The sequence below is a fragment of the Homo sapiens genome, chromosome 4, assembly GCF_000001405.40.
Source record: "Homo sapiens chromosome 4, GRCh38.p14 Primary Assembly".
Taxonomy (NCBI): domain Eukaryota; kingdom Metazoa; phylum Chordata; class Mammalia; order Primates; family Hominidae; genus Homo; species Homo sapiens.
Window position 1 is genome coordinate 177,238,898 of NC_000004.12, and position 15,014 is coordinate 177,253,911.

A 15,014-nucleotide genomic window follows, 5' to 3' on the forward strand; every position below is an offset into this window, starting at 1 on the left:
GCAGGAGGATCGCTTGAGCTCAGGAGTTTGAGACCAGCCTGGGCAACATAGTGAGACCTTGTCTCTTCTAAAAATTAAAAAAAAAATTGTTTAAGATAGCCAGGCATTGTGATATGAACCTGTAGTCCTAGCTACTCACAGGCTGTGGTGGAAGGATTATTTGTGCCTGAAGGTCAAGGCTGCAGTAAGCTGTGATGGTGCCACTGCAGTCTAGCCTGGGTAAAAGACCAAGGCCCTGCCTCAAAAGAAAATATAAATAAATAAAAATAAAAATAAAAAATAAAAATAAAATATATATACATATATATACACACAGCACATATAACTTTTAAAATACATTTTAAGTATTAGAAGCCTAATTCATTAATAGCACTATAGAGAGAGGAGTGAAATTTTTCAAGTACTGTTTATAGGTGCAAGCTATGTAATTAATGTAATCTAAAAGCTATAAAATGGGAGGATGAATGGGAACTATTCAAAATGTACCCTTGTTTGGCCTGTAACTTCATTTCTCTCCCTTCATGCATTTGAGCTCACAGAAGGTGGAGGTTATACAGGCTTGGAGTGAAGAACTGTGATGAGGAAATCCCTACTGATTCCCTTTAACACTCATTTACAACCAAAAGTCTCTGAATAGTTATTTTTTTTTCTTCACAGAATGAGAGTTTCATAATACATAAAAGCCCTTTTTTCTTTCCTTTTTTTTTTAATTGAGTAAAAGTGCTAGCCCATGATGTTAGCCAGTAATTCAGTTGGTATGTTTGAAAAAAATCCTCTGACTTCACAAACTTGTAAGCCGGTATTTATAAGATAATATGTAAAGTGAAAATGTGCCTGTTGTATGAAAGCTAACTGACTTGTCTCAAGTATAGAGCTGATTGGAAGGTACTGTTTATTGGTTGAATTGCTATATTATATTAAAACCTATACTGTATAAGAGTCACCATTTAATAGTAACACCACATTCTTTCAATTTTCTAGAAACAATTCAACTTTATATTTTTGTTACAAATAAGATGTTTGCACTCAATTTTTATATCAGTATTGCTGTTGGATTAACTATTACATTTTTCTCAAGTAAGGCTATTGTAAACCTGGGATCAGATCCAGCAGTCTTTCTGTGTTTAAATCTGGAACAACATTACTGTGATACAAATGAATGGCTTCCACCTAGATTAATTATGTTTGAGCTGCAAATGAATGCATATGCTGTATCTATGAATTTGCAAATACAAAGCAGGGGCTCCCTCTGCATAGCCATCTGTGCATTGCTTTTGTCTCTGGGATTTTTTAATATAGATAATAAAGCCTAATCCTCTTTAAAATCAGGAGAAGATAATTGGAATATGAGGCTAACCACATGTAATGCAATGATATTATTTCCTAACTACTCATAACTTTGAAATAATAGTAGTAATAGCAGTAATAAATGTGTTTTTTATGAAACAGTCTACTATTAGGCCACAATTTAAAAGTTATAAAAATATTAAATATTATAATTGCAAGTGAAAAATTATAGCAAAGTCCCTAAACTGAGGACACATTGAAAATATCACAAACTAAGCAATCTTTTTTTTTGAAACAAGGTGCTGCTTGACCTCATGGGCTCAAGCAATCCTACCTCAGCCTCCCGAGTAGCTAGGATTAAAGGCACAAGCCACTGTCCATGGCTAATTTTTGTGTGTGTATGATTGTTTTGTAGAGACAGAGTCTTGCTATGTTGCCTAGACTGATCTCAAACTCCTGGCATCAAGCAAACCTCCTTCCTTGGCCTCCCAAAGTATCAGGAATACATGTTTGGGCCACCATGCCTGGCCATTTGTGCAATCTTCTTGTTACATTTGGGCCACTGAAGAGATAAAATGCAAAAAGAATTCTGAATGTGTGTCCTAAGAATGAGAAGAGTATATATTAATTACGTCAGATATCTACTGTCAGCACCAAATAGCTGACTTCTGCACATGAATCAACCAATAGCCTAGCTCTGCATGTGCTCATCCTCAACTCCAATGACAGGTACTTTGTCTTCATTTCCACAGCCCATCCCAGGATTCTGCCTCCAAGCTGCTGCATCAAATCTCTCCTGAGTTTCTAGCCCACCTCCTTGCCCTGTGGATTTCAAACTCAAGACTGCAGTATCAGTTCCCAACTTAGTTTCCAGCCTGCTGGTCCACCGTACAGATTTCAAACTTCTAATACTCCACAATCACAGAAGCCAGGTCCTTAAGGTGTGTGTGTGTGTGTGTGTGTGTGTGTGTGTGTTAGTCTCATCAGGCTGCCAATACAAATACCATAGATTGGGTGGCTTAAATAATTGAAATTTATTTTCACATAGATTTGGAGACTGGAAAGTCCAATATCAAAGCTCTGGAAGAGGTCAATTCTTGGTGAGGGTTCTCTTCCTGGTTTGCACATGGCACCTTCTCACTGTCTCATCACAAGGAGGAGAGAGAGCAGCCTCTCTGGTGTTCCGTCTTGGAAGAGCTCTTAATCCCATCAAGAGGACTCCACCTTCACGACCTCATCTAAACCTAATTACCTACCAAAGGACCCAACTACAAATACCACCACATAGAAGGTTAGGGCGTCAACATCTGAATCAAGGGAAGTGGGCACAATCTAGTCCATAGCACAGCATCTCTCTCCCCGCCTCTCTCTCTAGATGAATAGGCAGATAGACAGATACATCAATATCCTATTGTTTCTGTTTCTCTGGAGAACCCTGAACCCTACATCTCTTGCATTTTATCATCTCTGAAATCCAAATTCCATAATGGCATCCTCTGACCAAATCAGTCCTTCAAAGTCATTCACATTTTTTTTTTTTTTTTGAGATGGAGTCTTGCTCTGTAGCCCAGGCTGGAGTGCAGTGGCGCCATCTCAGCTCACTGCAACCTTCACCTCCCGAGTTCAAGCAATTCTCCTGACTCAACCTCCCAAGGAGCTGAGCTAACAGGCGTGTGCCACCACGCCCGGCTAATTTTTTGTATTTTTAGTAGAGATGGGGTTTCACTGTGTTAGCCAAGGTGGTCTTGATCTCCTGACCTCGTGATCCACCCGCCTCGGCCTCCCAAAGTGCTGTGATTACAGGCGTGAGCCACCGCGCCCGGCCTCATTCACTTTCTTACTGCCATTCCAGCCGCTCTTCATCTTCAGCGAGACCTCCAATCCCTAGGCCACTTTACTTTGTGCAAAATGATCAACTGCCATCCAGCTTCAGTCCACCTTCAGCTGGGTACTCAATGCTGCCATCGTCACTTTCTCAGAAGTTACTCCAGATTTTCACCTCACTCTTCAAATCACTAAAGTCATCAATGGCTTTCATTTTGCCCAACCAATCAGTACTTTTCTGTTCTCATTTTAAGATTTTTTTGCCTTTTTACTCTATTGATTACCCTGTGTCCCTTCACATTACATTTGCAATAAATATATTTTAAACAGTATGTGAAGATTACTTTTACTACAATATGTGTGCTACAAGAATGCCATGGCACTCCATGGCCACTTATCTTACTTGGCACTCCAGTGACTACCACAGTTTCTGGTCAGTAGCAGATGGTTCATAAAATCTTGTTGAATGAATAAGCCCTCTCATGAAGAAACATTCTATGTAGATTGACAATGACAGTCAAATGACAGGGTGAAAGAAAGGGATTTTTATTAATGTACAAAGTGGAGGAAATACTGAGGCCAAAGTATTTACTTAAGGGTAATTCTGCCTCCTTTTATCTTCAATAAGTGGCAGCAAAGAGTTCATTCAGCCTTTACGAAAGATGAAGTGGAGATGCCAAACACTCCGTTCCATCCTACAAATTGAGCAAAGGATCCATAAGCTTTCGTGTAGAATGAATCTTGTAATAAAAGTAACCATCTCATATTTTTAAAAATCCATTCTCAGCATGCGTGATGTCTAGAGACACAGCCCGCTTAGTGGGAGGCTTGACAGGAAACAGCAGATCTCAATTGTAGTTCTGATTCTGGCTAATTTGCTGTGCTTTCTAAGAGAAGTTCGTTAACTTTCTTAGAATTCAGTTTCATTACTTGTGAAAACATTGGATTTGATTATTTCGAAGGTCTCTTTGAGCTCTAAATTTCTATGCTAGTCTGATGAGATTTAAATTTTTAAAAACCTTACTTGTTACTCATTCTTTAAAAATGTAAAAATTACCATACAGCACTTTTTCTTGCCAAAAAAAGTTTCTTTGTCAGCATTTCAAGATGCTTAGACATAAAGCTTTATACATCCTAATGCAAAAAACTGCTAATTTTTCAGTCACTTAAATCTTTCTAGTCTTCATAAAGACTAGGCTGTATTATTTATTATTTTAGTGGGACTAGTGATGAATAATGTAAACTAAGTCTTTAGAGTTGGGATGCATTTTACCTAAGTTTTTCTTCTTAAATTGGATGTTACAGGGATTTATGCTAGATTATTATATGAAACTAAAACAATGCAAATACAGGTATATAACATCTATTAGCACCTTGTATTTATAAAAAACTTACTGGCCGGGCATAGTGACTCATGCCTGTAATCCCAGCACTTTGGGAGGCCGAGGCGGGCAGATCACAAGATCAGGAGATCAAGACCATCCTGGCTAACACGGTGAAATCCCGTCTCTACTAAAAATACAAAAATTAGTTGGGTGTGGTGGCACGCACCTGTAGTCCCAGCTACTCAGGAGGCTGAGGCAGGAGAATCGCTTGAACCCAGGAGGCAGAGGTTGCAGTGAGCCGAGATCATGCCACTGCACTCCAGCCTGGGTGACAGAGCAAGACTCCATCTCAAAAAAAAAAAAAAAACAAAAACAAAAACAAAAAAAAACTCATTTTGAGAATAATGTCCATTCACTCTACAATTTTAATCTTCTAAATTGAGGATTAACATTACAACCACAATTAATACATGGTGCATTTCAGCACTGCATTTCCTTTCAGATCTAAAAGTTGCACACTATAAAAAACAATCCCAATACAAAAAAGAATTCTAAACCTTCATAGACAGAAAGTTATTATAAGCAATATTTAATAGTTATATTTTACAAGTATGTTGAAATTAAAAGTCAGAACAGAATATCAAATGTCACATTTCATAATCTTGATTCAACTCTCTTAGTCCCTTTTCCCCCATTTGTCAAATAAAGGGCTTAGATTCATTGATTTGAGAAAAAATATTTTATAACTCCATGAGGAGAGGAGGGTAATTAATAAATGACATGGAATTTAAGCTAGACCTGAAATGCATAGGGTTGTCACAGGAGAAGAAAGAGAGGCAGGACTCCCAGGCAGAAAGTCCAGCTCACAAGTAAAAAGACTAGCCACCAATTGGAGAAGTTACTGGCAATTCATGTAACTAACAAATGAATTAGATACAATAATATATAAAGAATTCCTACTAATTAATAAGAAAATAGGCAAAAAAAGAAATTTTAAAAGGATATAAATAATTCAGTGATGAAGCCAAATGCTCAATAAATGTATGAAAAGATAATTTCATTTTTAAGTAGGGAAATGAAAAAGAATGCAATAGTGAAAAACATATCCATCGGATTAATAAAACTTAAAAATATTTTATAATATCATTGACGAGGTTGTGGAAAAATAGAAAACTTGCACACTTTGATGAAAAGATAAATCTATTAAAAATACCCTGGAGGGAAATAGAGCAATGTCCCAGTGAAGCTGTAGATACGCACAACATTTAAACTTCCAGGTGCATACTCTCCTAGAGAAACGGAGCACACGTGCATAAGCAGACAGATGGTGGGATATTAAAATATGGTGTTTGTAATGTGAAACATTGGACACAGGCCTAACAGCTCATCAGAAAAAAAAGAATGGATAATGAACTGTGGTATACTCCATCAACAGCTTAATACACGGCACTTAAAAGGAATGAATCAGGGATCTACGCATTAACATGGTGAAAACTCAAAAATAGAATACTGAGCAAATAAATGCAAATTAAATAATAATACACATATTCTCATCATATTTTTAAAAACACTGAAAATATACAAAATGTTACATTATATTTATGGATAAATTATACAGTAATAGTTCAAATGTATATGTGAAATTAATAAATGCTCTAATGATATGAATGTATCAGGATATGAATGGAGGGAAGGAAGGTAACCAGGGAAGGGTAGCCAAGGTACAATACTTTCTGTAATATTTTATGACTTTAGGCCGAGCATGGTGGCTCATACCTGTAATACCAGCACTTTGGGAGGCTGAGGCAGGTGGCTCACTTTGAGCCCAGGAATTTGAGACCAGCCTGGGAAACGTAGTGAAACCCTGTCTCTACAAAAAAATACAAAACATTAGCGTGGCGTGGTGGTGTGCACCTGTAGTCCCAGCTACTCAGGAGGCTGAAGTGGGAGGATCACTCGAGCCTGGGACATCAAGGCTGCAGTGAGCCATGATCACAGCACTGCACTCCAGCAGGGTGACAGAGTGAGACATTCTCTCAAAAACAAAAGGAGTTGTTACGGTAAACACTACATGGTTTTCCTCCTACACGCCTGTAAAATGTCACCTTTGATTAATAAGCAAGGATACAAGGGAGTAACACTTCGCTGCATTTAAACCAATCAGTAAAAGAAGAGATAAAGTCATTTCCATTTTGCTGCGTTCAGAAAATAATTTTCCTACCAAAAATAAGACTCTTGTCTAAAACAATACTAACCTGGACAAAATGTGGCTGGTGGCTCCATGAATCTAATAGCAAAGATTAGAGATTCCTTTGAAATTGATAAATTATCAAATTTATGTATGATGCTTCCACATTTATGTTTAGGTAAAAAATGGAAAGACTTTTTTAAGAGAAAACCAAGGGTTAAAATTGAGTTATTCTATAGAAACATGTTATTTTAAAACATAACTTGTAATCATTTAAATAGCTGAATCCCAACAATTTTAATTTACAAAATTATTTATCTTGTAAGTAACTATGATTATTTTCCCTAGACTTCCAACTGCACTTTCAACTAGATGTTCAGATATTAGCTAGTGCCAACGTTTCGTATTTATAAAATCGCATGCACTCTGTTGCCATTTAGCGTAGTGAATACCCATTTGTAAACAAAGTGGTGATACATTATGATAGCCAAAGGGCAAAGCTTTACCTGAACAGAGATTCATCATCTTTTAATGCAGCACAGCTTGCTACTTGCAATATCATCAAGCACTCTGAAAGGTTCTTGTCAGAGATTGATGACCTAAACAGTCACTGAAACTTAATAACAGCGTTAACAACTGCAGGTCGATCTCACACACCACAAAATAGTGCTTGTGTTTTTCTCCATGCTTATTTTTAGCCAAGTTATATCAACATTTTGACCAGAGAAAATGTTGGACCAAGTTACAATTTTTTATTATTCCGTATTAGTAATCATAGACGGCATAGAGGTTGCTGTATTAGCAGTACCACAGCAAAAATAATTCACTTGCAAAGCAACTACAAAACATTATGCAACAATTCATTAATGGGTTTATCCAGGTAGCTTTACATTGACTCTGTGACACACGGAAAGCACTAAATGGAAATCTAGAGAGAAAATAATATGATGCTGGCCAGTATGTTTTAATGGTAATTATGTCCAAAAAGTTTATGAAATATTTTATTCATGCCACTGCTAACAGATACCTATGAGATAACTGTATCAAAAAAGATGATTTTCTGGTTGTCTTTTTCTTTTTCCAGAAAATGTTTTGTTTCCTATTATCAATTTGATAGTTTGATGAAAGCATATTTTGCTGGAAGGTACCTCTACTCGAACTAAAAAAAAAAGTCCATGTATATTTTATGTCGCTGATTTCAATAATTTCACTGAGAAGTATTAGAAGTAATGGTGTGACTCCTACGAACCAAGCATTATTAGTTAAAGACACAACTTCTGCAATGCTCCAAAAGCAACTGAACTGTAAACACCATGGATGATTCACAATCAGTTCATAACTTACTATTTTTATCCTTTTTCAGAGCTCTGTGCATGTACATAAAATTCAAGAGCACAACTGAATAAAATACAAATCACTGAGTGACTATTTAAAATTTAAATTTTGTTGTGAGCATTATCAACAAAGGCGGGCCATTAAAAAGGTTATTTCTTTACCGGTGAATTAATGATACAAGGACAACCAGTGTAAACTATTCTGCAGACAGGCCAATAATGAAAACATAGCTAAAGCAGTAAAGCTTGCCAACTACTGATGAGACTCAGGAGAAATTTCTTAACAGATGTTTCCCTGAGCAAATATATACTTTGCCTACTCTGATTATGATGGCCTTGAGAATTCGTGATTTGATTCAACACTCAGCTACTCTTCAGCAGCCTCATAAAAATATGATTCGTACAAAGGATATATTCTATATTTTCCCTTCCTAAGAACCAATATCTAACATATTTATAGTTCTCAGTCCCATATGGTGAAGCAGTGGTCCAACAGCACTGTTTATAACAGTATAATTAAGGTTGTGTCAGCATTTTATTATGAAAGGAAGGAGGCGAAGCCTTTTTGGATTTTTTTCTGTTTTCATTTTATAAGCTTCCCTTAGTTGAGTGCCCACTGACTGCAATAATCTGCTTTGACCTTTCATTTGCTTCCTGCTAAGATTTTTTTTGTTTTGTTTTTGTTTTTGTTTTTATTTTTGTTTTGAGACGGAGTCTCGCTCTGTAGCCCAGGCTGGAGAGCAGTGGTGCGATCCGGGCTACTGCAACCTCCGCCTCCCAGGTTCAAGCGATTCTCCCACCTCAGCCTCTGGAGTAGCTGGGACTACGGGCGCCCGCCACTATGCCCGGCTAATTTTTGTATTTTTAGTAAAGACGGGGTTTCACCATGTTGGCCAGTCTGGTCTCCATCTCCTGAGCTCAGGTGATTGGCCCAACTCGGCCTCCCAAAGTGCTAGGATTACAGGCGTGAGCCACCGCACCTGGCCGAAAGAGACAAAAAAAAAAAAAAAAAAGCAAAGCAAAACAAAAAAACAGGAAATTGTTCCTGATAGATACTTTAACCTTGCAGGTTCATGTCTAATCATTATTATATTCTGCAGATTTCTTTCTTTCTTTCTTCTTTTTTTTTTTTTTTTTTTTTTTTTTTTTTTGAGGCGAAGTCTTACTCTGTTTTCCAGGCTAGAGTGCAGAGTGCAGTGGCGCAGTCTCGGCTCCCTGCAACCTCCGCCTCCCAAGTTCAAGTGATTCTCCTGCCTCAGCCTCCCAAATAGCTAGGATTACAGGTATGCACCATGATGCCCGGCTAATTTTTTGTATTTTTAGTAGAGACGGGGTCTCACCATGTTGGCCAGCCTGGTCTCGAACACCTGACCTCAAGCGATCTGCCTGCCTCAGTCTCCCAAAGGGCTGGGATTACAGGCATGCGCCACTGTAGCCGGCCAAGACTTCTTTCTAGAAGGAACATGAGCAGGAAAATATTGGGGAGGTTTGTGATAGCAATAAATGTATACAGAGAAGAGTGAGGGGGTCACAATTGTTGAGTCTCATTATAATGCCTATCTTGGGCATCTCTGCATTTTTACTAATATCTATTTGTGTGTATTAAAGCCCTAGTAGTTTTAATCCTTTCTTTCTAAAAATCTTCCATTGTCTAATTTTGTATGCAATGAGAAATATTAAAATATGCACTTACTAGTTGTGGGACTTTGGGCAATTTGTTTAATTGCGCCTCAACCTCAAATTCCCTGAGTATTGAATGTAGATAGTAAGAATATCTACTTCATCAGACTGCACGGAAATTAATCATGCATGTGTTCATGCTCAGTGCCTGGCATAGGATTTTCACCCATATCCTCTCCATCCTTACCTACTATGGCTCCATTTTAGTTACCACCAAGGTCTCCCCATTCTGCAGCTGCCTGGCTTAAAGTGCGGGTATCGAACTCTCTACCCAAAGCCAATCCTTTTTAAACATTCTGAACTGTTCTTTTTTCTTTGTATTCTAACACAAGCTACAAATTAACCACATCATGGTTAATTTGATGAATACATTATCCTCTAAGATTAATAAATTATCCTCTAGGCTCTATGAAGGGGAAAGACCAAGTCTATTTTACTGACACGGTGCCTCATGCCTGGCATAGAGGTATGTGTTTCATAAAATATTAGTCTTTAGCTATCAAATAGTTACGACATTATGCACAGTTACACAACTACTTAAATGAGAATAATTCATCTTTGAAACTAAATTCAATTTCTGATAAGGCTTGTAAGTGAAAAAAACAAACTGGTTCTGATTTTTTTTATCTTAACAGCTTTTACATGAGTCATATTAGAACACTCCACTTTCTTTTCCTTTTTTTTTTTTAATGCAGAGACAGTGTCTCTCTATGTTGCCCAGGCTGGTCTTGAACTCCTAAGCTCAAGCAATCCTGCTGCCTCAGCCTCCCAAAGTGCTGGGATTGCAGGTGTGAGCCGCCGTGCCCAGCCAATACTCACACTAAAACTGAGAGACATGTACTGTTACTATCAAGATGTACTAATCAAGTTGCCTAAACACAGTGAATGGCAGAAAACCTAAAATCCGAGAAACCTTGAGCCAAAGAAGAATTCAGCACACCTCTCTACACTGCCTTGTCATAGCTTGGATGTGTTACTAAATGCCTTTTATTGCTAAACCAAAATTGTCCCCACCCCTGCTCACTCCTAATTTATATCTGCAGGATCTCCAACACTACAGTGGCATCTCTTTTCCAGCTCTTTTTAAAAGAATAATTGCGTTTGCATAATTAAAAAGAAGAGGTATCTGGCTGACTAATATTTTCCACTTATATTTTGAATATTATGCATTTTTAGGTCACCTAAAAATATGAACCAACAATTTCTTGTACAATTTACTGAGAGTCCAGTGATGATTTGGCTGTACCCAAAATTTATCAATGGCAAATAACCAACGGAACAACCTTTCACCAGAATGTTGCAATCACTAGCACATATTCTAGGCTTTATTAATCAGGTATTTTTTTTCATTTGTATTCTCAAATTTGACAGGCAACAGATTCAATAACATAACCTCTAGAAAACTAGCATTAGTACATTGTTATCCCAGAATCTAAATATTTCATTGTGTCCTGATAGACAAGAACATTCAGGTCTTTCAAGTCAAGGATTTCCCTCTTACCAAGAGATAATTCACATGTGCCATCCTCCCTCACCAATTGTAACATTCTCAGAGGTGGAAAGCTGCCAGAGTCATTAACCGGCTCTGCATTATGCCATTTCTCTTGCTGTCTAACCTGTCACCTCCATGCCTTCTGCAGTCTTTCCTCTCCTTCAGACTCGCTCTCAGACATACGTATCAGTAACTGGTGCCTCGCCTTCCTCCCGCCGCCTAACAGGCTGCTATTCTGCCATCGCCCTCCTGGGAGCGCTGCTGGACCGTGAGCCCGCTCTGGATGTTTCCCGCTGAGTTCCTGCCAATCTCCAACCAGCCCAGGTTGGAGCTGTTAGAGCAAGAGTGTCTGCTTTTAACCAGTGCCATAGGCCATGGATTTTACTTCTGATTCTAAACGACAGCTTGTTTATATAAGATACAAACGTTGGGCACCCTAAAGGTAGCTAAGTTCTTTTTTCTAGATGGTAGTTTTGCAAAGAACATACATTATCAATGCAAACCTATTAGTCTTAGCTCTTCGTTATACAGGACAAAGTAAGCCTCCTTTTTGACTAAATTTTATTAAAACGTTGTTGCTTTTTTGCCTTTTAATTCATAATATTTTAAATACACATGAAATAGTAAAGAGTTTATTAATTCTATCATATAATTATGTATTAATAAAAGTTTACATCTGCATTTCACTGCATGAGAAGTCCTCATAGTAAATATTGTCCTAAATATCTAAATACATGTTTTTTAACATTTACATAGCCAATGAGCATTGTGTAGCTTTAAAAAGGTTCCTTTTGATAACTTCCATCAGCGATACTGTGAAGCACTTAATAGTGTCTCTGTCACGTCTTTTCCTTTTCTTCCTAGTAACACACAGTTTCTAAATTTGCTTCTTTTACATATCATATTTATTTACAGCAAAACATTTTCATTTTAAATACTTTTAAATGTAAATATGGTTTCTGTTGTCCACATGGTATCTGTGATACAAATGAGCTAGTTGAAGTAATCAAGAAAACATCTGTTAAAAGAATAAATATTCTTTTATAAATGTGCTATGTATTATCATGACTATCTATTGCTATGGAAGTGCAAAAAGCAGACTAACATTTCCAAAACATAAATAGGATAATGTCACATCCTTGCTAAAATCTTCCAGTGACTTCCTATTGAAATTAAAAGTGTGTAAAATTTTGCATGGTTTACATTGTGGACGTGATATGCCCCTCTGACCCCACTCTCCAGCCTCTTCTTGCTGTGTCCTGCGTTCCTTTTCCCTGCCCTGCACCCAACTCCTAAGCTCTCACTGCGATGCACTTCCTCCAGTTCCTTCAACAGTATAAGGCTGCGTGCACCTGCTCTGCCTCGGCCTTGCACAGTTTCCTTTATCTAGAATGCCTTCCCCGCCCTTTCTTGGCCAACCACTCCCCTCCTTTCAGGTCTCAGCTTAAATGTCATTTCATCAGAGTCCCATTCTGACTTTCCCTCCACTGCCGTCTCTCATAACACCCTCTGCTGCTCTGTCACAGCACCTGTCACATTTGTGGGATTTGGTAGGCATTTGTGTGAGTAGATGTCTCTCATTTCCACTAAAGTTGAAGTGGGGACCATAGCTTACTGTAAAAATTTGGCTTGTAGACAATGGCTAATTAGGCTCATAATGGCCCTCTGCTAACTTTTTGGCTCTATTTTTCTCATATGTAAAGTGTGATGATGGTTCAGTGAGTATATGTACATATTGTTTTTATATACACATTTTTATATATGACATATATACACATTTTTATATATGACATATATACACATAGTGTATATCTTTGGAAAAATTACGTTTAGTAATGATACTGTGAAACACTTCATGGTGCCTATCACATATCTTGTCACATACTGTGTGTATATAATATGTATATGAGAATATATATAAATATACATGCATCATTTATAAAAGGACCATAGTAATTATTACGCAAGTGCTTACTTACATGGTATTTTGTTCATTACCAAATGTCCAATGGCTACCACATAGTAACCTTCAAAAAGTATCATTATCTGAATTCGTGAGTGAAAATATTTTCCTTGTCCTTATAGGAAACTAGATACCAAACATTTCCAGTCCACTGGGACAAACATCTTAATTTTCTTGAGAGTTGTGGAATAAGAATAGCAGTGAGAACAAGTGGAATGGGGAATGCAGAGGACAGACCTTTGAAATCCGTTTCTGTTCTCCCTTGCCATTCTCTTCTAAACTTCAGGGTTCAAGGCAAATCTGGTATATAATCAGGTTATGATCTATGATGGCTATTTAATGCACTTATTTATCAAATATCTTTTGACTACCCACTATGTTCTAAGCATGATTCTGTCAGAGATATAAAAGAGAATGAAACCCACAAAAATTCCTGCCTTTGCAGAACACGCCTTCAGTAACAGTGGAAATTGAATGAGACACCTTTAGCTTATTCCCATCACTTTGTGGATTTCTAAAGTAAATGTGATGGAATATCTTGAAACCCCTCCCTGGAAAATTTCAGACCTATTTAGTCAAGGCTCCTAAAGGACTCTGGAACTTCAGAGCTGAGGTCTGGAAGTACAGTCATAGAGGATCTAACTGAATTAATGAAGCATTTCCCAAAGCGTACACTGTAGTGATGGGTGTTACCTCAAAATGCACAGTCCATGGACAAGTATGAAGAACAATGGTTTAAAAAAGAAGCTTTTTGATAATTATTATTACAGGTTTTCTTGCTTTGTTGTGATTCACTTTATGTTAACTCTGGGACTTTCTCACTAATATATCTATTTAAATACCAGTTCAGTCTTTTCCTACTGTGTGCACTTGGGCAAATTACTAAACCTTCCTCTGTTTCAGTTTCCCCATCTATAAAATGGGAATTATAACAGTTTTTCCTCATAAAATTATTCAGGATTGTATGAGTCCATACATGTAAATTGTTTAGTACAGAACTTGGCACATGGTAAGTACTTAATAAATGTTAATTTTATTATTATTATTTGTTTATTCATATTTATTTATTTATTTGTTGGAGACAGGATCTCTTGCTCTGTAGCCTAAGCTGGAGTGCAGTGGTGCAATCGTAGGTCACTGCAGTCTTGAGCCCCTGAGCTCAAGCAATCCTCCCGCCTCAGCCTCCTGAGTATCTGGGACTACAGGTGCATGCTGTCATATCCAGCTAATTTTTAAATTTTTTGTAGAAACAAGGTCTCACTCTGCTATCCGTGCTTAAACTCCTGGCCTCAAGTGATCCTCCTGTCTTGGCCTCCCAAAGTTCTGGGATTACAGGTTTAAGCCACAGTCCCTGGCCAACATTTGTTAGATGTGTCCTGATTACACTGATAAAGACTTTATTACAGAACTTGATTTCTATAGAATATCCTTGAGAGATATTGAACTTCATCAGGACATTAAACTTTCTGAAAAAGCCAATGAGGTCCATTCTGGCAACTTCAAAAAGGAAGCCTAGGTCAAGAGATTCAGTCAAATCAGCCTTTGTAAGGAAGGCAAGTGGGAGAGAATCAGTCACCCACACTACAGCAGAGTGTGAGGGCCACTATAGTAACAGGAAAATCCTGCTCTAATCCAGACAAACACAATGACATTATAGTAAAATGTACTTGCACATATTATGTGGCAAATGTCGGCACAGGCTGTCTACATTTAAGTCTAAGGGATCTAATATTACCCATAAGATCTCTTATGGGTAATATTCCAAAAGTTGTGAATATAAAAATATAAATGCAGATAGAATCTTTACAGTGAATGTCATTAACCCATAACGTGGTTTCTATATATAATTAATGAATTTAAAGTGAATACTCCACATCTATATGACATTTAAAGCAATTATTCTCATCTCCTTCCCAAGGAA

General features: G+C 37.5%; 1 long non-coding RNA gene across 3 annotated transcripts in view; it reads right to left on the bottom strand.

Annotated features, from left to right (window-relative positions):
- Positions 1-15,014, bottom strand: part of LOC105377557 (uncharacterized) — an 88,225-nt gene that overhangs the window by 25,842 nt on the left and 47,369 nt on the right. The gene's annotated exons all lie outside the window — the stretch shown is intronic.